The following is a 26,206-nucleotide window of genomic DNA, read 5'->3' as shown; positions in this document are numbered from 1 at the left end:
ACAATAGGCTTTAGGCTGGAACATTATTGTGATATTTAAGATGTTTTGCCACATCTTCCTAAATGTTTTGAAACTGAGCTTATGAAAATAAGCACTGAATTTCTTTTCCCACTTGACATGACATACTCTGTTTTCCTTTTTCCTTCCGTGTTTCTTAATGGGTTGGTCCCCAGCCTTCCTTTTCCTTTATTTTCTCTACTCTGCCACGCCTGAATTGTGTCCAGGTAAAAACTGTCAATCACTGGGAAACTGTTCATGGATTTACTTCTTTCTTATTTCTATTCCGTTGCCACTAATTGCTGTCTTTTTTTTTTTTAATTTTTTGCCTTTTTTATTAAAAATTTACATCGTTTCCTGCTAGTTGTGAAGCAACTAGAGCAGGTATGTCCAATCTTTTGGCTTCCCTGGGCCACACTGAAGGAAGAATTGTCTTGGGCCACACTGAAAATATACTCATATGGCCAGGCACGGTGGCTCATGCCTGTAATCCCAGCAACATGGTAAAACCCTGTCTCTACTAAAATACAAAGAAATAGACGTGGTGGCGAGTCCCTGTAATCCCAGCTACTTGGGAAGCTGAGGCAGGAGAATCGCTTGAACCCAGGAGGCAGAGGTTGCAGTGAGTGGAGATCATGCCGCTGCACTCCAGCCTGGGTGACAGAGCAGGACTCCATCTCAAAATAATAATAATAATAATAATAAATATATATACACACACACATATATACTGTTAAAAAATATTTTACATTACATATATATACACACTAACATTAATTATAGCTGATGAGCTAAAAAAAAATTGCAAAAAAAATTCACAATATTTTAAGAAAGTTTATGAATTTTGTGTTGCACTGCATGCCCACGGGTTGGACAAGCTTGAATTAGAGAATTCTGTCAGCTAAGAGAACTCTCTTCTTTTTTTGAGACAGGGTCTTGCTCTGTTGCGCAGGCTTCAGTGCAGTGGTGCAATCACAGCTCACTGAAGCCTCAACATCCTGGGCTCAAGTGATCCTCCCACCTCAGCTTCCTGAGTGGCTGGGACCACAAGCATGTGCCACCATTCCCAGCTAATTTTTTTGTAAAGACGGGGTCTCCCATGTTGCCCAGGCTAGTCTTGAACTCCTGAACTCAAGCCATTCTCCTGCCCCAGCCTCCCAAAATGCTGCGATTACAGGCGTGAGCCACGATGTCTAGCGAAGAACTCTCTTCTTCTTCCTGAGCCAGAAGGGTATGGCTAAGTTCTCAGTCTCAGTTCTGACTCTCCTCCTGACCAAGTGACTTGATTCAGTTACACTCAGAGTAATAAGCCCTGTTTTAGTGATTCCAGCCTTGAATAATTATTACAAAAGGGAGCAGTTCTGTTTGATACCCCACTGGGGTTCTAGGAATGTGTTAGGAAAGAAAATATATTATTTAATGAGACAAATAGCTACCAGGATTATTTAAACTCAACAATGAGGCACTATTCATTACATAGGAAAGCATCATGAAGTATACTCAAAATAGTGGACTCTTTTTATATCTTATATAAATATATAGTATTTGTCTTAAGTGTCATCTGTTTTATTGTTTCTGTAAGCTTCATTTCCTCTGTGCCTGCATTTCATAAATAAAGCAAATTTCTGCTTTGTGGAGGTATTGCTTTTTTGGTAGCATTTTCTATGTTGCCGACTTGAAATCTTACTATAAAGTGTTATGTTTTTAAATGCCTTAAATTCACCTTACCTCTGTATTTCAGATGAAGCCATATGTATATTTGTATCCACCAAAACCTGAGGCCTGCATTCATATTTTTGGCACACTTTTTAACTTAAAAATAAACTGGGAAAAATGGAAAAGAATAAATTTCAAACCTACTTACATTAAGTGCAAAGCTCACAATTTATGATTTTTTTTTTTTTTTTTTGAGATGGGAGTCTCACTCTGTTGCCCAGGCTGGAGTGCAGTGGTGCAATCTTGGCTCACTGCAACCTCCATTTCCCGGGTTCAAGTGATTCTCCTGCCTCTGCTTTCTGAGTAGCTGGGATTGCAGGCACACACCACGCCCGGCTAATTTTTTTGTATTTTCAGTAGAGATGGGGTTTTGCCATCTTGGCCAGGGTGGTCTCGAACTCCTGAGCTCAGGCAATTCACCTGCCTCGGCCTCTCAAAGTGCTGGGATTACAGGCATGAGCCATGGAGCCCAGCCACAATTTATGATATTTATTTTTATAGTGCTGTACAATAATTTTCTATAGTTCTAACCCCCTAAAACCAGTTTTAAAATGAGCCATTACCCTAAAAAAGTGTTCTCTCCCTACAAATGAAATCATTTTATCTTTCCTCTCATCTGTTGTGCTCTTAGTAAAGCTTTGAAATTTTGTCCAGAATTCACTGAATCTCTTACTCTAAGAGTCAACCTTTTTCCTGCTGTATTGGTCTGCTTTCCAGGGATAGCACCTTCTGTCCCTGGAGTTGGTCCAGTTACTTGTTTGCTTTCTCTTGGTCACAAAGCCTCCCTCCCTCCCTCCAGGCATTGATCTGCAGTTTTCCTTCAAGCCCTGAGGGCATCTCTCCTGTGTTCCCTCTCATTTGTGGTATTTGTGTGACTCTTTTGAGTGATGGTTCACTTTGCCCAGACTCTCCCTAGGCACTGGCATGGGCACTGCAGCCTCCCTCCCCCAGTGCATTCCTTTTCAGTTGCCAGATGTCCTCAGTCTCTACGGCTTCTGCATTCCGGTCCCTTCCTCTTAGAGGGGCTCCTTTCTAACAGCAGGCTCCTGCTGTTCAGTTCATCTGAAAAGAAGGAATTGCTAGCTCAGACAGGTGATGGCATTTCAGGGAGCGGGGGATGCACATCAGATAGGGAACATGGAGAATGTAATGACAGGACAGATGGGCCTGGGCATGCTGGAATTCTTTGATAGGTTTTTTTGTATAACCATTTAAATTTTTACAAGTGGGAAAGGGGTCTTTGGAGAAGATTTCTACCCAAGTTTATATTTTTATAATCCATATGTTCAATGGAATATTAAATATAATAGCCAATCTGACCAACTTTCCACAGCCTTTGCTTTCATACAGTGATGGTGATAGTATTTATTTACCTTGGATTCTTAGATCTGTCTCACAGTAAAAATAACAGGAAAAATGTGCGGTAACATATAGGAAAATGTTATATTATTCACTGGGAATGAAAGTTTTTGATTAATTAAAAGCCACCAAGTATAGAATTTAGGGATTACTTGTGTTCATATTTTAAACATTTCAACACAATAAAAAGTGCTCAATGCTGAAAATGAAGGAAAGATTAACTTTTATATCAGTATGATTGAGAAAACATTTCAGAATCTAAGAATAATCCTTGATTTACAATACAAGCATCAACAACTCTTGCCCTGGCAAAATGCAGAAGGAGCCCAGGGTTCCTTTGGTAAAAATTCTACTGACTGGTAGAATTTCACAGAAGTATTTTTCAATTTATATTATTGGGACACTATGAGGTAGGATTCATCTACAGATTATAATGAGAACAAGCATAAAATTTCCTCTCAAACCATGACCCTATCTCATACATCTAAAGTAAAAGAATGTGCCAGGCATGGTGGCTCATGCCTGTAATCCCAGCACTTTGGGAGGCCAAGGTGGGTGGATCACGAGGTCAGGAGTTCAAGACCAGCCTGACCAAGATGGTGAAACCCCATCTCTACTAAAAATACAAAAAAAAAAAAAAAAAAAAAAATAGCCAGGCGCGGTGGCGGGCACCTGTAATCCCAGCTACTCGGGAGGCTGAGGCAGAGAAATGCTTGAACCCGGGAGGTGGAGGTTGCAGTGAGCCACAGTCGCATCACTGCACTCCATCCAGCCTGACAGAGCGAGACTCCATCTCAAAAAAAAAAAAAAAAAAAAAAAAGAATGTGACTGGGGCAGCCGGTGCTGTCAATGGAAAGAAGCAACCACGTGGTATAAAGACTTAAGCAATCTCATAGTAAGAAAGGATGAACCTTGAAGTGTGTTGACAGGTCTTGGTGTCAGCAGAGAGAATTCTCTTAGGAACAAAAGGATTCTTCTGTGTTTGTTAGAGAGACTGAAGAAAACAAGCAAGAAATAGTGCTATATCCTGGAGGCAGAAAATGTATAATTGATGACAGCAGAAACAATAGAACAAATATATTAGGCTCTATTTTAGAGGGATTGAGAAAAAAATAATTAGGAAATTGCAAAGAGAAAGTGGAAAGAAAATATTTCAGAAGGGATGGCAAATAAAAGAAAGTATATGACAGGTTTTTCTTCCAAAGAAAAAAAATATATATATAAAGAGTTCAGGGAGACACAGCAAGTCATCTTTATCTGTGTGTATTTTTAAATGTAGGAATTAAACTGAGAACCACATACCTATAAGCTCATCTCCTAAATTGGGGGAAAAAAAAAAATCTATGTATGATCTTTGATCAGGGATTAAGCTAGAACACTTGGAAACATACAAATTGGATAGAGATAGATTTACAGAAAGGCAGCTGGGCTTAACCAGCATGATTAATTTCTTTGAATCAGTGACAAGGAACCCACTGGGTGAAGCAATGGACGTAATTTACTTGGACTTGGAGCAAGCTACAAAGGGAACTAGTATGGTTATGCCAGTGAAATACTTAATTGAATATTAGATTGCTGTGGCAACTGGTAGAAAGCAGTAAGTGGTTACTCACCCAGGTCAGAGTGATGAACTGAGTGCCTCCCAGAGCAACATGGGAGCCAATTTGGGCTATACCAGGGGCGATTAGAAATGAAAATGTATGAACTACAGAGAACACCAGAGAGGCTAGAAAAATAAAGGAAACAGGAAATGTATACTAATAAAAGATTGTAAATGCCCATTCAGATGGAAGTTAAAATACCATAGCATTGGAAGTCTGTGGAGCTTCTTTATATTGCAAGACTCTGTTTCTTGAATTGTACCTTGGCAGTTATCACCAAAAGTTGAGTTAAGGTCACACAGCCACCAAGAGGCAGAGGCCATTCAGGGACCGGTCTGTGAGCCACTCTGGTCACCCCATAATGCCTCCACAGCGCTTTGTTCAAAGGGAACAAGGGGTGCTTTCCAACCAAGGTGCCAGTCAGCTTTATACATTTTTCCTTTCTTTTTTTTTTTTTTTTGCCTTTTTTTTAAACAAAAAATTTTATTCATTCATATATCTTATTTTTTAAATTGTGGTAAAGTATACATGAAAATTTACTATTTTTTCAAGTGTACAATTCAGTGGCATTGAGTACATTCATGTTGTCATACAACCATTCACTGCTATCCGTTTCTAGAACTTTTTCTCATCCTAAACTGAATCTGTACTCATTAAGCACTAACTCTTCATTCCCCCTCCTCCAGGCCCTGCAACCACCCTTCTACTTTCTCTCCCCGTAAGTGACTTCTGGGCATCTCATAAGTGGAATCATGCAATAGTCTTCCTTCTGTGTGCATGCAGCTTATTTCACTTAGCATAACGTTTGCAAGGTTCATCCCTGTTGTAGCACGTGTCAGAATTTCATTCCTTTTTAAGGAGCTTTGTACATTTTAAAAAACAGTTTTTCTATACAACTAGGCTTTTTCTTTTTGCCACTTGACATGCTTATTAAGAATTAAAGGTACTATGCTAAGTCCTATGAGGCATATAAAGTGAATTTAGCATCATCTCATCCTTCAAGCAGCTTATGGTTTGGTAGAATAAACGAGACGGACACAGATGGTAATAATACATTGTAGACTGTGCTAAGTGCTGTAAGACATATACATGGAGGCCTCTGCGATTTAGTCAAGCATGAAATTGCCTCCAGCCATGGGGCTGGAGATTTCACAGGGGAGAACTGGAGCCAGGCTTTGAGAGAGTGATAGGGTATGGGTGGGAGAGATAGCGTCAAAGGAGACTCCCACTAGAAGGAACTGCATGAGCCAAGGTGTGGCGTGGGGGAAGTAAAGGCCCTGAATAGGGGACATGTTCAGGCTTAGGGGAGTGTTTGGGACTTTTGTGGTGATAGTAGTAGCTACAGCTGTGTAAAAAGAGATTAGGGCCTGATCACCAAGGGCTTCGCATACCAGGCTGAGGATTAACCTTGCTCACAGGCATTGTAAAGCTGTTAATGATTTTTTGGCAGTGGGTAGCTGCAAATAGAGTTGCCACTTAAGAATATTAGTATGTGAGCTCTGCATAGACTGGGTTGGGGACAGGAAGAGACTTGAAGGAGGCCAAGGTGGGTGGATCACCAGGTCAGGAGTTAGAGACCAGCCTGGCCAATATATTGAAACCCTGTCTCTATTGAAAATACAAAAATTAGTCGGGCATGATGGCACACACCTGTAATCCCAGCTACTCAGGAGGCTGAGGCAGGAAAATTGCTTGAACCCAGGAGGCGGAGTTTGTGGTGAGCTGAGATCGTGCCATTGCACTCTAGCCTGGGTGACAAGAGCGAAACTCAGTCTTAAAAAAAAAAGATATTTGACGAGGTGGAAGGTAATGAAGTCATCAACCAGGATAGTGACAGTGACAATGAAGAGGAGTGGATGGGATGCAGATTTTGAAGGTAGATCAGCAGGTCCCATGTAGGTCATGGGAGAGTATTCATTGACCCCTGAGGTTCAGAACTTCCCCAAACCCCTGTTCATATAAAGAAAAGCATAATCCGAGTGAGGCAGAGGGTGGAGCAGCAGATGTAAAGGGCCTCTGCAGCTGTGCCTTACATCTGTTTGTTGGTCTGTAAATGTTCTACTTGGCAAAGCCTTTCAATGCCTGAAATAGTTGGCCAGTTATGCCCAGTATTTGGCCTTACAAATCTGTATTAGAAAACTGCAAACCACCTCACAAGGCTCAAGATCAGGACCTGAGCTGGAAGATTTCTAAGTAGAGTCTATTACTCCTGCACCTGGTAGTCTTCATACGATCAAGACTGTGTCACAGTTTCCATTATGCACATAGTTTCTCATTCCACCCGCCCCCCCAGAGGTTTATAAAACTTAGCAATGAAAATTTGCTCCCACTGGGAACTTGGCAGGAAGAGTATGTTCTTAGCCCAGCAGCAGTTCTAGTTCAAAATTTTTTTTTGACAAAATTGGTTTAGTGCATTTTATAAAATGCATATATTAATCTAATTCACTTCAAGTTTTTCAATAACCATTTTTATTCCATTTCACCTTTAAGGCAGCTCACAGAGAACAAGTAGGGAATATATCTCATGAGAAGTCTACTCTGAATATGTTTTGAGTCACTTGTACATTTTTTCCCAGAATTATAAAGCTTTGCCTTAAATGTTTAACTTGCCCCACATGGCAACTACATCATTGCTTTTTCATGGATTTTTAGCATGTTGACATTAGACTTGAGAAATGTCATCTGGATCCTTCTTTCAGATAAATTCATGATGAAATTATTTGTCTTGCTTTTAAAGGTGTCAGAGAGCTGGGCATAGCGGCTTATGTCTATAATCCCAGCACTTTCTGGGGCTGAGGCTGGAAGATTGCTTGAGCCAAGGAGTTCAAGACCAGCCTGGGCAATATAGTGAGATGCCATCCCTACAAAAAGTAAAAAGATTAACCAGGTTTGGTGGCACACACCTGTAGTCCCAGCCGGAAGGCTGAGGTAGGAAGATCAGTTAAGCCTGGGAGGTCAAGGCTACAGTGAGCTGTGATTGCATCACTGCACACCAGCCTGGGCAACAAAGTAAGACCGTCTCAAAATAAAGATATCAAAGAAGGGATTCCAAAACCCTAACTGTGTTGATCTAAAGTTTGTCAAATCTCATTTTCAGGAAATGAGGCCTGAGTTGTGGCCTGAGTTCGTTTCCTAGTTAGAGATGTCCAGCCACTGACTGGCCCATTCTTCACCTCCTTGAAGTGCCAGGCCTCTGCCTACTCTTGTCTAAGCCATATGATCATAATGGGAGCTAATATTTTCAGGTTGAACTCTTTGTCAGACACCATACGAAGAGCATCATACTTGTTTAACTCATTACAGTCCTATTCTACAGATGAGGAAACAGACTGAGAGCTGAGATAACTGGCCCAAAGTTAAGCTGCTCTAACTGACCTTAAAGACTGTGTCAATCCTTAGGCCAGTGTTTCTCCCGCTGTGTCATGCTTCCTTCCTCATTCCATGCTTGATCAAACCCCAGCCTTGTGGTCTATGAATATTCATGTTTGAATTAGCTGAACCTTTCTCAGATATGATAAGCCAACTTCTGTGCTGTGCTTTTGCTTCAGATCTTGGGTAGTAATTTGGTCCCTGTGCCAAAGGAGCTCAGGTTGTTCAAGCAGCCACTTACCTTTTGCAGAGATGTGTTTTTTTAGTGTAATAGTCTGGGACTCTTGCTGTGGTCTTTCTTAAATGGATTTTGGTTTATATGGAATGGGAATTGGTGAAAGGGGCAGGCTGTAATAGGTTTCAGAAGTTTGGGGACAGTTGTATAGAATTTGTTCTGCCTATCATTTTGAAGCCATAATATTTTTCACTTTCAGTCAGGAGTGGGTCCCACGAGGCTATACACTCATTTTCTGACTTTGAGAACCAAATGAAAGTAGAAACCCAAAATCAACTTTATGACTGACTACTCATTACTTAGCATCAAACAGTGAAAGATGTATTTATTAGATATCTGTTGCCATGTAACCAGTTACGCCCAAAAGTCAGTGGCTTAAAACAATAATAAGCATGTATTATTTCACACTTTCTGTGGGTCACATAATTATGGAACAGCTCATCTGGTTGGTTCTGGCTTAGAGTATTTCTTGAGATTGTAGTCAAGACATCAGCCTGAGCTGATGCTCAACTGGGGCTGGAGGATCCCCTTCTAAGATGGCTTATTCACATCACTTTTTCTGGTTAGTTTAGGCTTTTGGAAAGAGGCCTCAGTGCCTTACCATGTGTTTCCTCTCCATAGAGATGTTGAGTGTCCTCACAACATGGCAGCCAGTTTTCCTGAGTGACCGATCCAAGAGAAAGTAAAGTGGAAGCCATAATGCCTTTTATGATCTAGCCTCAGAAATCACCCACTGTCATTTCTGCAACATTTTATTGGCCACACAGGTCATCCTGTGCATCATAGGAGGAGACTACACAAGAGTGTGAATACCAGGAAGCAAGGATCACTAGGGCCATCTTGGAGGTTGGCTACCATACACCACCATTCTTTTCCCCCCTTTTGTTGAGAAGAGGAGTAATGCAAATAATGCTGGAAAAATAGAGAAAGATAAAAGGATATAGAGTGTAAAACAAGTCACCTCCCTCTCGTTTCCTACAAGCTGTAATTCTGCACAGGAAGGCTAAGGAGCATGGAGGCAGGGGCACAGATAATATTAAACCAACTAAGCTTCTGCCATTTTTAAGCGATAATGACACCTTTCCCACTAACTCCAAATTCTGAGCCAAGGAGAAACAGACCCAAATGTCAGAATAATAGAGATGAGAATGTCAACCTCGTTACTGGTAATGTTGGATTGAACTTGTGGCCATAGCCCTCCCCTCCATGTCTGGACCTTGGGACTACCTTCCCAAGGGATAATCTGGGTATGTGGGGCAGATTACCTTCCTCAGAATTGCTGCCTCGCCCATGTCAAACACCAGTGTAAGGGACGTAGGGACACAGAGACAGACTTCCAGACTCACCTTCCTGACCTCTGTGTGCTTACAACATAGAGGTGGAGCAGAGCCTCCTTAGCCTGTGGGCAGGCGGTTCAGAGAGGACTGAACCCCCCCTGCTCAGCTACTTCTCCCAGTCTCACCAATCAAATAAATTCACTCCTGTTTCCTTGGAGAAGAGGGAGGGATAGAAATGATACCCCTCTCGGGAAATGAAATGAAACTCTCCTTTATGGCCAAGATACAAACACTGGTAGGGAACAAGGATGGCTGTCCTTGTTAAGGTCACTCAGATGAACCAGTCTGGGCCATCAGTAGTGGGTTGACACACATATCCAAATCCAGTCTTTGTTAGTACTAAGTCTCTACTAAACAGAAAATAGCAGTATTTTGAGTTGTTTTACAATCATAAATGAATTAATGTTATTTCCTATTTATGTTGAAGGTTCGTGCAGACTAACAGTACACCATTTTTTAAAATCACTGCTTTGAATCGCCTTAACCAAAATCTCTTTCTTTTCTAGGCACAGGGTGGTGGTTTCCTATCCTCCTCAGAGTGAGGCAGAACTTGAACTTAAAGAAGGAGATATTGTGTTTGTTCATAAAAAACGAGAGGATGGCTGGTTCAAAGGCACATTACAACGTAATGGGAAAACTGGCCTTTTCCCAGGAAGCTTTGTGGAAAACATATGAGGAGACTGACACTGAAGAAGCTTAAAATCACTTCACACAACAAAGTAGCACAAAGCAGTTTAACAGAAAGAGCACATTTGTGGACTTCCAGATGGTCAGGAGATGAGCAAAGGATTGGTATGTGACTCTGATGCCCCAGCACAGTTACCCCAGCGAGCAGAATGAAGAAGATGTTTGTGTGGGTTTTGTTAGTCTGGATTCGGATGTATAAGGTGTGCCTTGTACTGTCTGATTTACTACACAGAGAAACTTTTTTTTTTTTTTAAGATATATGACTAAAATGGACAATTGTTTACAAGGCTTAACTAATTTATTTGCTTTTTTAAACTTGAACTTTTCGTATAATAGATACGTTCTTTGGATTATGATTTTAAGAAATTATTAATTTATGAAATGATAGGTAAGGAGAAGCTGGATTATCTCCTGTTGAGAGCAAGAGATTCGTTTTGACATAGAGTGAATGCATTTTCCCCTCTCCTCCTCCCTGCTACCATTATATTTTGGGGTTATGTTTTGCTTCTTTAAGATAGAAATCCCAGTTCTCTAATTTGGTTTTCTTCTTTGGGAAACCAAACATACAAATGAATCAGTATCAATTAGGGCCTGGGGTAGAGAGACAGAAACTTGAGAGAAGAGAAGTTAGTGATTCCCTCTCTTTCTAGTTTGGTAGGAATCACCCTGAAGACCTAGTCCTCAATTTAATTGTGTGGGTTTTTAATTTTCCTAGAATGAAGTGACTGAAACAATGAGAAAGAATACAGCACAACCCTTGAACAAAATGTATTTAGAAATATATTTAGTTTTATAGCAGAAGCAGCTCAATTGTTTGGTTGGAAAGTAGGGGAAATTGAAGTTGTAGTCACTGTCTGAGAATGGCTATGAAGCGTCATTTCACATTTTACCCCAACTGACCTGCATGCCCAGGACACAAGTAAAACATTTGTGAGATAGTGGTGGTAAGTGATGCACTCGTGTTAAGTCAAAGGCTATAAGAAACACTGTGAAAAGTTCATATTCATCCATTGTGATTCTTTCCCCACGTCTTGCATGTATTACTGGATTCCCACAGTAATATAGACTGTGCATGGTGTGTATATTTCATTGCGATTTCCTGTTAAGATGAGTTTGTACTCAGAATTGACCAATTCAGGAGGTGTAAAAATAAACAGTGTTCTCTTCTCTACCCCAAAGCCACTACTGACCAAGGTCTCTTCAGTGCACTCGCTCCCTCTCTGGCTAAGGCATGCATTAGCCACTACACAAGTCATTAGTGAAAGTGGTCTTTTATGTCCTCCCAGCAGACAGACATCAAGGATGAGTTAACCAGGAGACTACTCCTGTGACTGTGGAGCTCTGGAAGGCTTGGTGGGAGTGAATTTGCCCACACCTTACAATTGTGGCAGGATCCAGAAGAGCCTGTCTTTTTATATCCATTCCTTGATGTCATTGGCCTCTCCCACCGATTTCATTACGGTGCCACGCAGTCATGGATCTGGGTAGTCCGGAAAACAAAAGGAGGGAAGACAGCCTGGTAATGAATAAGATCCTTACCACAGTTTTCTCATGGGAAATACATAATAAACCCTTTCATCTTTTTTTTTTTCCTTTAAGAATTAAAACTGGGAAATAGAAACATGAACTGAAAAGTCTTGCAATGACAAGAGGTTTCATGGTCTTAAAAAGATACTTTATGTGGTTGAAGATGAAATCATTCCTAAATTAACCTTTTTTTTAAAAAAAAACAATGTATATTATGTTCCTGTGTGTTGAATTTAAAAAAAAAATACTTTACTTGGATATTCATGTAATATATAAAGGTTTGGTGAAATGAACTTTAGTTAGGAAAAAGCTGGCATCAGCTTTCATCTGTGTAAGTTGACACCAATGTGTCATAATATTCTTTATTTTGGGAAATTAGTGTATTTTATAAAAATTTTAAAAAGAAAAAAGACTACTACAGGTTAAGATAATTTTTTTACCTGTCTTTTCTCCATATTTTAAGCTATGTGATTGAAGTACCTCTGTTCATAGTTTCCTGGTATAAAGTTGGTTAAAATTTCATCTGTTAATAGATCATTAGGTAATATAATGTATGGGTTTTCTATTGGTTTTTTGCAGACAGTAGAGGGAGATTTTGTAACAAGGGCTTGTTACACAGTGATATGGTAATGATAAAATTGCGATTTATCACTCCTTTTCATGTTAATAATTTGAGGACTGGATAAAAGGTTTCAAGATTAAAATTTGATGTTCAAACCTTTGTATGTCCCTTGTGTCAGTCCTTAAAATTTTGCTTTTTAAAAAAACAAAACAAAACAAAAAACACGGGACACATTTGACCTAATTTGTACCTCACAAAAATTCTTTGCATACATCTCAAGCGGAAGATGTCTACAGGAATCAATTTGGTGATTATGACACATTTTACCTCTGCAACTAACAAACCTTGTTTATTTCTCCAAGAAGCTTAAAAAGAGTTTGTGGAGTCGCACGAGGTCATGTATGGCACTTGTGTTCCCCTCTTCCTCTTCCAGTTACTAAAATAATCTGGTGAGTGCTAGTTGTCTTAGCCATAGAAGGAAAAGCAGACCTATCAACCAATAGTATGATAACCCGTAAGTCTCAGCATGGCTTGGGGACAAAATCTTTAGATTCACCATGGTTTTAATTTCCCATGAAATGAAAGGCCCATGTAAGTCATGTTAAAAACTATTTTCTTATTAACTTTTGGCTACTGTCAAATGACTTATCAGAATTGAAAATCAGGAATTCTAGGTTGTATTGTAGCTTTTCCAAAAACTATCTCTGTAGCCACCTGGGCAAGTTGATTATTACTTAGTTTCCTCCTTTTGGTGTCCCATCTACCCCACTGGGTGAGGATGAGGAGCAAAGGAGATAATCTCACTGTTTTTGAAAAGTGCTATTTTAATGTGTGGCATTAAGTTTATCTCTGGTTTCAAATATTCATCTCACTCTCTTGGAGTATATGATATAATGCTTTTCAGGGTCTGATTGGTTTTAGAAGGAACAAATTAAGGTGATGTTTCCAACTGCTATGCATTTAACTTTCTGTTCCTATAATAGAACATATTTGCATACCTCCAGAAGAACATTCAATTCTCTGAATATTTCAATCCAGAGCTATAAACAACATTAGAATTCGGCTTTGGAAATTGTGTTTAATAGATGTTTGACTAAGTTTAATAGATGTTTGACTAAGTTTAATAGATGTTTGACTAACAACTCTTTGTGTGTATTCATCAAATTTTTAAAAATGTGTTTTGAATCAAACTATGTCATTATCAATGTCACATCCTATTTAAATTACTTTTTTTCCAGGAAAAATAATTAGCAGCCTACCAAAATCAATAAGATATTTATAAGAGATTAGTCATGTCCAGGCAAAGGGGTGTAGCCCTCGCTAACTCCCTGTGGCTGCAGGCTGTAATGGGGTATGCTGGGGAACTTTGCCCTGTCCATTAGTATCACCAGAGGCAGGAAGGAGCTATTAGAGTGAGTAGTCACCTGCCAATGTGAACAGCGACAGTTTTAAAATACCTTCTCTCAGGTTTACAGATGAACATCCCTTGGATTCCTTTTGTGTTTCCTACTAATAAATTTCTGATTTGGCTACTTTTCCATTTCAGAAACACCACCTGCATCTCACTCAGTGCAAATTCTTACTGTACTATGGCCATCCAGGCTCTGTAACCATGCTGCAGGCACCTGCGAGTGGCATTAATCTTTGAGTCCCATTCAATACTATTATAGAGTCAGACTATTCTAATAAGTCTCCAAAGATAATGGAATTATCCCAGCCAGTAACCAGTGAGCCAGCTGCCACTTCTATTGCCTACACCTTAGATACGAAATTTGGTTCCAAGAGGTCTCTGACCTTGGGGTTGAATCTTTCAAGCTCTGAATCCTTGTGAAAGTACTAGAAGAAGCCATGATAGACTTTGGCATGAGAGGGCATTCCTAAATATGATTCAAAATTTAGAAACTGTAAAAAAAAGAAAACCTTGATAAATTGTACAAAATATCAAAATAGTTACATGACAAAACACCATAATCAAAGTCAAAAGAATAAACAATGAAATAAATCATTTGTAAGTCCTGTAGCAGGCAAAGAGATAATTTCCTTTACATATAAAAAAAAACTTCTACAAATAAGAAAAAAAACCCAAAGTAACACTAACCAAGGATTTGTGACAGAAATTGCCAATTGTCGTGGCCGAGCGCGGTGGCTCAAGCCTGTATTCCCAGCACTTTGGGAGGCCGAGGCGGGTGGATCACAAGGTCAGGAGATCGAGACCATCCTGGCTAACACGGTGAAACCCCGTCTCTACTAAAAATACAAAAAATTAGCCGGGCGTGGTGGCAGGTGCCTGTAGTCCCAGCTGCTCGGGAGGCTGAGGAAGGAGAATGGTGTGAACCTGGGAGGTGGAGCTTGCAGTGAGCCGAGATCGCGCCACTGCACTCCAGCCTGGGAGACAGAGCAAGACTCCGTCTCAAAAAAAAAAAAAAAAAAAAAGAAATTGCCAATTGTCTCTGAATATTTTCATTTTCTTTTTTCTTATTAACTGATATCTGGGCTTTGTGCTTAGTTAAAAAGCTCATTTTTGTCAGGGTGTGGTGGCTCATGCCTGTAATCCCAGCACTTTGGGAGGCCAAGGCAAGCAGATCACCTGAGGTCGGGAGTTTTGAGACCAGCCTGGCCAACCAACATTGTGAAACCCCGTCTCTACTAAAATACAAAAATTAGCCACCTGTGGTGGTGCATGCCTGTAGTCCCAGCTACTTGGGAGGCTGAGGCTCAAGAATCATTTGAACCCGGAGGTGGAGGTTACAGTGAGTAGAGATCGCCCCACTGCACTCCAGCCTGGGCCGCAGAGGCAGACTCAGTCTCGGAAAAACAAAACAAAAAAACTCATTTTCCAGTCTCCCTTAAGGTTAGGTGCAGCCTTGTTACTAAGTTCTTGCTGAGACACAAATGAAAATATCACAGGGAACTTCTGGTAAGGCTTCTTAAAAGGGAGAGGAGGCCAGGCGCAGTGGCTCACGCCTGTAATCTCAGCATTTTGGGAGGCCGAGGCGGGTGGATTGCCTGAGGTCAGGAGTTCAAGACCAGCCTGGCCAACGTGATGAAACCCTGTCTCTACTAAAAATACAAAAATTAGCCAAGCATGGTGGCACACGCCTGTAATCCCCGCTACTCGGGAAGCTGAGGCAGGAGAATCACTTGAACCCGGGAGGCAAAGGTTGTAGTGAGCCAAGATTGCACCACTACGCTCCAGCCTGGGCAAGAAGAGCAAGACTCTGTCTCAAAAAAAAAAAAACTTAAAAAAAAATTTTTTTTTAGTTTTTTTTTTAATAGTTATTGTGAGAACATAGGTGACTGTTGGAAACAGAATGCTTGTTCCCAGGTACTACAAGGAAAAATCAGCATTCAGACAAAAAGTTCTCTCAGCAAGGCAATTTTACTTTCTGCAGAAAGGGTGCTCTTAGCAGATGGAACAATGGCAAGAGCACCCTTTCTAAATAAAAGCAATTTATTGTAGAATTGTAGAAAGTAAATATAGTTTCCTCTTCAAAGTTTCCCTTCTTGTTAAAGGATAATAATAAATCATAAATGTTAGAAATAATTTAAAGACTAACTTCCTCCAAGCCTCCTTGCTTTGTGCTAATAACTCTTTGTTAAGCCCTAGCCTATGTAGCTGTTAGACATGCTCACAAGGCACATAAGACATTCTATGTCTTTGTACCTTAACCAAGATATTTGTGCTAGACATGCTCACAGGCACGTTCCAGCTTGCAGCTTATGCCCCTTCCCTATTTGGCATAAGCAACTTCCTCTTTTCCTTCGTTCTCCCTTGCCTTTACCTATTTAGGACAGTTTTAAATTATTAGCCAGTCAGGTTTTAGTTTAGATTGTGCGGTCTGGCTCCAGCCAGTGGACACAGGACACAGTAGCAGGGACAAGCTGCGTAAGGGATAAAAATTGCTTCCCTCCTTTGTTCAGGTGTGCTCTCGCCATTGTTCCATCTGCGAAGAGCACCCTTTCTGCAGAAAGTAAAATTGTCTCACTGAGAGAACTTTTTGTCTGAATGCTGATTTTTCCTTGCAGTACCAAGGAACAAGCATTCTGTTTCTAAATAAACGTTTTACATATAACAGTGACTTTTAAGATGCAAGAGATGTACTAATTTGTTGGAGAAAGAAGGAAGGAACATGATACCCTAGTAAACTTGAGCCTTCATGCCAGCCTGAACTACTCATCTTTAAATATGATTTATTTGAGAATAAACCTCTTGAGTCCAAGCTACTGTAGTCTTAGCCACCACCAACCTGACTGGTATCAATATAAACTGACAGTTCATTAAAAATATATTTTTTATGTAAATATTATTTCTATATTATTTATATATATATACACTAAAAGATGTTCCACCTAATTCGTAATGTAAATGCAATTAACAACAATGAAATACTTTTTACCTATAAAATGGGAAATTTCTAAAAATTTGAAATGTTGGCTAAATGAGGGACATTCAGTATTTTGCTGATGACAATGTATAGGGAAGGCAATATAGATAGAAAATACCAAAATTACAAGTGTTGTTTACCCATTCTACTTTTAAGAATTTGTTCCAATATACTTATTCATCAAGTGTAAAATGACAGTACCATATTCTTTGCAGTGTTGTTTATAATAGCAAAATATTGGAAACAACCTAAATGTTTACCAATATGGAAATGGTTAAATGGATTATGGTAAATCTATACAGCAGTATACTGCATAACCATAAAAAAGAATGAGGAAATTCTTTATGCATGGGTATGGAAACATCTCTGAGATAGCTAAACAAAAAAGATAAGGTAGAGTGTGCTACCATTTAGTAAAAGGAGGGGAGAGAATATATATACCAATAAACTTCTATATGAATACAATATCTGGAAAGATACACTCGAAAGAAACTGGAATGATGGTTGCATTACCATTGAAGATGGGACCTTGTGCTAACTTAAAGTACATTAAAGTCTCATCAGAAAACAGACACATCAAAGTGAAGTGGCTACATTGTCTGGGGTAAATACCTGGAGTTTGTCTTCTCGCCCCAGGAAAATTAGGACACAGACACTCACGAGGAGTTTAGGAGTGGAGGTTTAATAGACAAGAGAAAGGAAAGCAGCTCTCTAGTGAGAGAGAGGGGACTTCCAAGAGGAAAAAGACCGGCCAGCAGGGGATGTGCTGGATTTTATAGTCAGGTTTGAAGTGGCGGTGTCTGATTTACATAAGGCTCACAGATTGGTTTGCATAGTGTGCATGGAAGGCTGGCCACCCCACCCTAATCTTATTATGCAAATGAACTTTTCCCTTGGCCCGGGGCCATCTTGTCTCCTCTTTACTTTACATGTGGCTGACAAAGAGAAGGGAAGATGGAGCTGCCATCTTGAACATGATTGGCACAACTGCCGGCATCTATGCCTGCAACTAGATTTTACAGGCTGCTCTTTGTTAAAAAATGATTTGGGGCTGTTTTTCATTAAAAATAAAAGCCTCACCCAAGGACTTACCTACCCTCACTGTCTATCTAAGTAATTTCTTCTTAACTCCTGTATCAAAAATAAAGCCCTTGACCTATGGAAGCTGTATATTTGAAGGGAGAGTGAAGAAGGGAGGAGACAAATATTAAAATTGCTTTAGGAAAATGAGATATTTGAAATTAACTTAGAAAACAAGGGATACCCACTTTGGTGAGAATTATTAATTATTTAATGACTGAGTTCAAAAGCAGACAGAAAAATGACATCATTTAGACAGTCATACCGAATTTCTCCTCCTTTAATAAGTATTCAGAACACACTACCTTTAAGGATTCAAGATAGCCCTGAGGTTGCCTTTCCACAAAGGATTAACTTCTACTTCTTTGCCATTTGGGAAATTGAGAACCAACTGACATATTTTATGGTGCAATGGAACCCATGAAAAAGGCCTTACAATATAAATTGGACATGTATCTAAATCAGTAGTAAGATGCTACTGGGGCCTCTGCATGTATTCCCAAGATGCAGAACCCCTGAGAGGCTCCTTCCAATGGTGTGAAGTTCAGGAAAAGTATCAACCAAAGGTGAACCTATGGTACACGCATCCAAACTGGGATCTCATCTGAGGACAAACCTGAAACAAGGCAGGACTTCCACAGGTGGCTGTCACTCCTGTGTCTCCTGGTACAGAAGCTGCCAGAGGGGTTGTCAGCAGTTCTAGTTAAGCACGTTACTTACACGTCCATGGAAACAGACTCAGATCTTCAACACGTAGCTTGGCATCCAGGTATTGGAAGATGAGAGAGTAAGTGCAAGGGTTGTCTGCTTGGCAAATATCAGCTCATAGACCTTGCCCACTCCTGTTGGTTCGTGTGGAACAAAGCAGCCTTCCAGCCTTAATGCCACACCCCCTCAATAGAGCTTCTTCAGGCAGAAGGGTGAATAGAAACAACGAAAAACAAGACTTCTCTCAACAAAGCAGAAAGCAAGTAAGATGTGAAATTCAGAGGGTCCTTGCTGGCACTATGACTATAAGCTTTCTATAGCTCTTTCTGCAGATTCTCAAGTTTAAGAGAATTCAATTATATTTGAAGGTAGAGTCAATGAAGATGCACCATTGAAGGAGACCAATCTGTTGCATTCAGGTGGCCATGAAATCGCAAGGCCTAATTGATAGCTAGAACAGTCTGATGGCTGGGTGCCGTGGCTCATGCCTGTAATCCCAGCACTTTAGGTGGCCGAGGTGGGCGGATCACGAGGTCAGGAGATCGAGACCATCCTGGCTAACATGATGAAACCTGTCTCTACTAAAAATAACAACAATTAGCCGGGCATGGTGGTGCGGGCCTGTAGTCCCAGCTACTCAGGAGGCTGAGGCAGGAGAATCACCTGAACCCAGGAGGTGGAGGTTGCAGTGAGCCGAGATCGCACCACTGCACTCCAGCCTGGGCAACAGAGCAAGACTCTGTCTCAAAAAAAAAAAAAAAAAAAAAAAAATCTGATGACATTTTAAAAATTGAATTTGAATTGCTACATAAATGGGCATTCTGAATACATAAATGTCAGCATAGGAGAACTACTTTATCCATCTTTCCTAGAGCAGTACTATCCAACAGAACTCCTTGGAACAGTGATGGGGATGTTTTAGATCTGTGCTGCCCGATATGGTAGCAACTAGCCACATGTGGCTACTGAACCCTGGAAATGTGGCTGCGGTAACTGAGGAAGTGAATTTTTTTTTTACCAGGAAACCAAAGAAGCCAGGAAGTGAATTTTTATTGGATTTAATTGTAATCAGTTTAAATTATTCTTTATTTGTATTTTTATTTTTTTGGGTGGGGGGATGGTAATGAGGACCCAGGCTGGAGTGCAGTGGCACAATCACAGCTCACTGCAGCCTTGACCTCCCAGGCTCAAGCGATCCTCCCAACTCAGCTTCTCAAGTGGCTGGGACCCCCAGGCATGCCCCAGTGCACCTGGCCCAGTTTAAATTTAAATAGCCATGTAGCTAATGGCTACCATTTTGGACAGTTCCATTTTAGAGAATAAAATACTGTATGTGTGTGTGTGTGTATAGAGACAGGGTCTTGCTATGTTACCAAGGCTGGTTTTGAACTCCCGGCCTCAAGTAATCCTCCAGCCTTGGCCTCCTAAAGTGCTGGAATTACAGGCATGAGCCACCGTGCCTTCCCGAAACTCTATTTTTAAGTGATCACCCACAAAAAGGGAAAAACAAAAACACAGCATTGCAGTACTGTATCCAGCTTCTCATTTGGAGGCACCAGTTTAGAACTTGATTGTGTTAGAAACCCTACCAGATACATGAAAACATCTTAACTTTGAGCAACAGAGATTATTTCCTTAATTTTATTTATTTATTTATTTTTTCTCTTTAAGACAGAGTCTCGCTCTGTCGCCAGGCTGGAGTGCTGTGGCACAATCTTGGCTCACTGCAACCTCCGCCTCCCGGGTTCAAGTAGTTCTCCTGCCTCAGCTTCCCGAGTACCTGGGACTACAGGCGCACACCACAATACCCAGCTAATTTTTGTACTTTTAGTAGAGATGGGGTTTCACCATATTGGCCAGGATGCTCTTGATTTCCTGACCTCGTGATCTGCCCGCCTCAGCCTCCCAAAGTGCTGGGATTACGGGCGTGAGCCACCATGCCTGGCCTACTTATTTTTGATATAGGATTTCTCTGTGTTGCCTAGGCTAGCGTGCGGTGGCACCATCACGGCTCACTGCAGCCTCGAACTCCTGGGCTCAAGCGATCTTCCTGCTTCAGCCACCTGAGTAGCTGGAACTACAGGCATATGTCACTACGCCCCAGGTAACTTTTTGTAGAGACTGGGTCTTGCCATGTTGCCAAGGCTGGTCTCAAACTCCTGGGCTCAAGCAATTCTCCTGCCTTGGCCTCCCAAAGTGCCGGGATTACAGGTGTGAGCATTGCGCCCAGCCAATTTATTTAATTTTGAAGTTACTTTTGCCTTATGTCCTTCAAAAAATAGATGAAGAGAGTGGATTCAGTAAGAGAATTGGGGAATTCTACTGAAACCTTTTGGTTTGGCTGAATGGACTGCTGACTTCCATGCAAGGGCGATCTGCACTTTCCCAAACATCAGGCCTGTCTCTTCCATGCATGTCTCGATTTTAACATTGACCGCGCTTTTTTTTTTTTTTTTTTTTTTTGAAATGGGAGCTTGCTCTGTCGCCCAGGCTGGAGTGCCACTGCATAATCTCGGCTCACTGCAACCTCCACCTCCCAGGTTCAAGCGATTCTCCTGCCTCAGCCTCCCGAGTAGCTGGGACTACTGACGTCTGCCACCACGCCCGACTAATTTTTGTATTTTTAGTAGAAACGGGGTTTTGCCATGTTGCCCAAGCTGGGGGGTCTTGAACTCCAGACCTCAGATGATCCTCCCACCTTGGCTTCCCAAGAGCTGAGATTACAGGCGTGAGCCACCACACCCGGCCTGCCCATGCTCTTTAGTTCACGAAGCGTCACCAGCATGAGCACATGACTCCCAAAATTGTTAGGATGATGATCCGATGATCTGCCTACTGTGAACTTAATGGATATTTTCTCAGCAGGGTGAGATTGGGGTTTATAAAGAAGAAAAATGGCACTCTGGCCCTCTAATTAAACATGAAATGACATCTCTGGAACAAAGGCCATGCTTCTTATTCCCCAACCCCTGTAGCAAGGTCATTCAAGTGAAGGCCAGTGCCTTATCTTTCCAATCACATCTAGTTCATTTCTTTTGCCAGTGAAAATTGAAAGCTTAATGGAATTACCTTCTCCTTTTTTCTAAGCACTCAACGGTGCTGCAAGACATAAAGCAAAAACGTCCTTTTGGGTAAAACCAATTTCCTTATAAATTACATCGCAAAAGCACATTCAACAAACTCCCTAGAGGCAGAAACACAGTAAAGACTGATACCTGCCGCCAGCTCACTCTCTAATATAAGCTAATTCAGCCAGCCCCTGGAGTCATAATTTGTAACTCCTCTTTCTTTTTTTCCTTTCTTACTAAGGTTTAGTAAGAGCTCCTGTTAAAAACAGATTCTAACTGAGAACTGGGGGGTGTGGGTGAGGATCCCATGAGTAAAATCCTTTTTATGTTTTAGATAAACATTAAAAAATAACAGCACCACCAAATCTGTGGATCTTCTGTGCAAAGCAACTGCTGGCTTTAACTCCATATCAAATGAGACCACCTTGTTTGTTGAAACCATCTCTGTACAGTAAATATAGATGGACACAGAGAATAATTTAAGAGACATGGTGCTGAAAAGTGGTTCATGTATTATATGGGCCCCCAGGGTGCTCAAGCAGCCAAGCCCATGAAAAATAGCAACCTGCAAGGACACAATTCCCAGGTAAGGAGTGAAGGATCCTTCCTTCCTTCATTCCTTCCTGGAAAGGAATTGCTGAGCTCCTGCGGGGCTGAGGAGGTGTGAGCTGCCTGCCTCCCCCTGTGGCACAGGCCACCATGGCAATAAGGCAGGCTCCATATATAGCTGGCACTACCCATTCTACTGGGGTAGCAATTGTGGGATTCCTATGATGTGCTGATGGTTGCAGAAATCAAAGTCGGGCTGGAATTTCTACCCTTTAAACCAAAATTCTTCTTTCCTGTGATTTATTTACCCACTGAGACAGATGTGTGGGATTGGCATATTATCAGTCATTCCCTATAATAAAACCGAAGTGAGTGAAGCTTTCAAGAAGAGGGTATCGCAAAGGAAATGCTTCCCATGAGAAAGCTGTAATAATCTCTCCCACCATCTAAATCTACCCAGTGGCTTAGGCCTAAAGAAAATGGCCTCAAAACATTTAAAATCAAAATCTTACCCTATGATCCTAAACTGTTCCTTATGCCAGAGAATGCATTTTTACATTTTCTTCTAAAAAAAAGTCCTATGTTTTGGATTATTTCTTCTATTTCTCCCTTATCTCACCTTCTCCCTGTCTGTCTCCCTATGTCTGCATCTCTGCCGACCCTACCCTCCTCTCTTCCGCTCCCCAGCCCCCAACACTCTCTTCAGTGGTGGTGTTGGTAATGGAGCTGGATGTCCGCTGGAATAGTCCAAGTGTCCTCATCCAGAAATGGTATTCTCAACTACTCCCCATAAATTCCCATCTGAAAAGCATTTTTTTTTTTTTTTTTAAAGAAAGAGTCTCACTCTGTTGCCCAGGCAGCTCACTGCAGCCTTGACCTCCTGGGCTCAACAATCCTCCCACCTCAGCCTCCTGAGTAGCTGGGATGACAGGCACATGCCATCATGCCCCGCTAATTTTTTTTTAAATTTTTTGTAGAGACTTGGTTTTGCCATGTTGCCCTGGGATCAAGCAATCCTTCCACCTTGGCCTCCCAAAGTGCTGGAATTACAGACTTGAGCCACTGCTCCCGGCCATTGTTTTTTTTTGTTTTTGTTTTTGTAGTTTGTTTTGGCCTTTTCTATCTCTTTAGTCTTAGTTGTAACCAAGTCATGATCAGGATTCTGGAATAATAAAAGAGGACATCACAGCTAAATCAGTGTGGGGAAAAGACAAATTATTCCATTTAGATTCAGATTTTTTTTTTTTTTTTTTTTTTGAGAAAGAGTCTCGCTCTGTCACCTAGGCTGGAGTGCAGTGGCGCGATCTCAACTCACTGCAACTCTACCTCCCAGGTTCAAGCGATTCTCCTGCCTCAGCCTCCCAAGCAGCTGGGATTACAGGCATGTACCACCACGCCCAGCTAATTTTTGTATTTTTAGTAGAGACAGGGTTTCACCATGTTGGCCAGGCTGGTTTCGAACTCCTGACCTCAAATGATCCACCCGCATCGACCTCCCAAAGTGCTGGGATTACAGGCGTAAGCCACTGCGCCTGGCTAGATTCACATTCTTAAAGGGCTGAAATATACTTTTTATTTGCCTAAAATTAATATACATGTGTTCTATCCTATTATATTTAAAAACCAATTACAGATTTATTGAGTGAGTTCTCACAATCCATTTTGTGTTTGGCTAATACAGTAAAAGGTATTGTGAGCCGGGTGTGGTGGCTCAGGCCTGTAATCCTAGCACTTTGGGAGCCAAGGCGGGTGGGCCAGTTGAGGTCAGGAGTTCGAGACCAGCCTGGCCAACATGTCAAAACCCCATCTCTACTAAAAAAAAAAAAAGGCCGAGGCGGGGGGATCACGGGGTCAGGAGATCGAGACCATCCTGGCTAACAGGGTGACACCCCATCTCTACTAAAAAATAAATAAATAAATTAGCCGGGCATGGTGGCGGGCGCCTGTAGTCCCAGCTACTCAGGAGGTTGAGGCAGGAGAATGGCGTGAACCCGGGAGGCGGAGCTTGCAGTGAGCCAAGATCGTGCCACTGCATTCCAGCCTGGGAGACAGACCGAGACTCCGTCTCAAAACAAACAAAACAAAACAAAACAAAACAAAACAAAACAAACTAGCCGGGTGTGATGGCGGGTGCCTGTAATCCCAGCTACTCGGGAGGCTGAGACTGGAAAATCACTTGAACCCAAGAGGCAGAGTTTGCAGTGAGCCAAGATCGCGCCACTGCACTCCAGTTTGGGCGACAGACCAAGATTCTGTCCTCCCCCTCCAAAAAAAAAGCCAAGTGGAAGTTTTACCTTGATGTTACTAATGGGTTCTGCATATGGAAGTGACATGGCGGAAAGATTAGATAGGCACTGGTACATGAGACTGGAGTTAGAGAGAGAAGCAGGGCCAGCGGAATCAAGATGAGATCATGAAGCGATCACAAAGAGTTATACCACAGCAGGTGGCAGAGGAGTGGAGAGGAAAGTAAAGCTAGAAGAGATACTAATATTTTAGAAAAAAGAGCCAATAGGAATTGATAGCCAAATGAATACAGCAAATGGAGGAGAAAAAAAAAATTACACCTAAGATTTATAGCAAGATGACTGTGGCAATGGTGGAGACTTTGAAAGGGATGCAGGTGCCGAGCACGTTGGCTCACGCCTGTAATCCCAGCACTTTGGGAGGCCGAGGCAGGTGGATCACGAGGTCAGGAGTTCGAGACCAGCCTGGCCAACATGGTAAAACCCCGCCTCTACTAAAAATACAAAAATTAGCTGGGCGTGGTGGCGGGCACCTGTAGTCCCAGCCACTTGGGAGGCTGAGGCAGGAGAATTGCTTGAACGCAGGAGGTGGAGGTTGCGGTGAGCCGAGATCACACCACTGCACTCCAGCCTGGGCAACAGAGCAAGACTCTGTCAAAAAAAAAAAAAAAAAAAGTGGTGGCAGGCTGGGGTTGGTGGGGAGGGATCCAGAAGTTGTATGGGAAGTGTATTTCCAGGTCAAGGTAGTATGTTTTATTTTGGAAATGTTGAGTTGGAGATGATGACAGGAGTTTAAAATGTAAATGTCTTATAGGCAGCTGAAAATATGAATCTTGAGTTAAAGTAGGGTGACAGAAAAATACCAGTTGGGTGATCTCGAACTCTTTGCCTTAAGGAAAAGGGGTATATGTAGGTGGACAAGCCAGTGACCAATGGCTGTGGTTTGAAAACACAGAGAGTTAACCGCATCATGAAGAGGACTGTCATAGAAGCTTTTTTCTTTTTTTCCTTTGGTAACAGGGTAGGAAGAGAGGATCAGAATAAGTCCTGAAGCTAAGAGAGGAGTTTCCAGAAGTAGAAGTCAACAGTCTCTACTATAGCAGAGAGAAGAACTGAGAAAGAACTTTCTATTTCCCAATCTCTTCTCACATCACCAACAATCCCACTGAATCCCTGAACGGGACGTTACATTTGACATTCTGAGAGATTCTGCTCAAAATGCTTTGGAACCAAACCAAGAAGTTCTTGGCAGCCATCCTGGCCCTTTCCCCTCTTCTGTTAAAAAAAAAAAAAAGAAAGAAAAAGCTATTTTTCTTCAGGAAAAGAATGCAAAGATCTTGTAGACCCAATCAGAGTTAAAATAAAATTTCTGTGTTCTCACTATAATGTGTGCAGTGATGTGTAAATCCTGCTGGCAGATCATATGGGGATTGACATATAAAAAAGGATGTCTTTAAAATCATATAAAAATCTCATTGAACATTGCATGACGTTTGATGGATAAATATGACAATATTTTCCTTACATTGATTTTTCTTGTGCAAAATAAGAGCAGATCATTTCTGAGAATAGTCCCATATCACCTCACCTACTGTGCTGTTCACATAATTGTGTGCGGAGAACTTACACTCCTGGTATGAGTAGCAATTTCGGCAAGTGCTTGCTGCTGTGAATGCTTACAAGCATCTCCATTTGCTATTAGGATTCACATCTTGGCCAGTCATTCCCTCTCTGCGATTTTTTCCATCTCTAATTTTCTCTGCTTCTTATATTACATCTC

At 41.4% G+C, this 26,206-nt stretch overlaps 1 protein-coding gene across 1 annotated transcript in view, besides 3 other annotated features; it reads left to right on the top strand.

Annotated features, from left to right (window-relative positions):
- Positions 1 to 12,549, top strand: part of SH3RF1 (SH3 domain containing ring finger 1) — a 176,698-nt gene extending 164,149 nt beyond the window's left edge. The window contains exon 12 of the mRNA NM_020870.4: positions 10,121 to 12,549. Within this exon, the coding sequence (NP_065921.2) occupies positions 10,121 to 10,289 (169 nt within the window). The 3' untranslated portion in view covers positions 10,290 to 12,549. The remainder of the gene's footprint in view (positions 1 to 10,120) is intronic.
- Positions 7,771 to 7,890: an enhancer, noted in NCBI's record as "active region_22131". NCBI's record gives its function as "activates an Ori minimal core promoter by ATAC-STARR-seq in GM12878 lymphoblastoid cells {active_cell/tissue: GM12878}" and the evidence as "EXISTENCE:reporter gene assay evidence [ECO:0000049][PMID:35858748]".
- Positions 8,171 to 8,230: an enhancer, noted in NCBI's record as "active region_22130". NCBI's record gives its function as "activates an Ori minimal core promoter by ATAC-STARR-seq in GM12878 lymphoblastoid cells {active_cell/tissue: GM12878}" and the evidence as "EXISTENCE:reporter gene assay evidence [ECO:0000049][PMID:35858748]".
- Positions 8,351 to 8,470: an enhancer, noted in NCBI's record as "active region_22129". NCBI's record gives its function as "activates an Ori minimal core promoter by ATAC-STARR-seq in GM12878 lymphoblastoid cells {active_cell/tissue: GM12878}" and the evidence as "EXISTENCE:reporter gene assay evidence [ECO:0000049][PMID:35858748]".
- Positions 12,550 to 26,206: the final 13,657 nt, after the last annotated feature.

The sequence above is a fragment of the Homo sapiens genome, chromosome 4, assembly GCF_000001405.40.
Source record: "Homo sapiens chromosome 4, GRCh38.p14 Primary Assembly".
Classification (NCBI taxonomy): Eukaryota; Metazoa; Chordata; class Mammalia; order Primates; family Hominidae; genus Homo; species Homo sapiens.
This window is presented reverse-complemented; position numbering and strand designations above follow the sequence as displayed.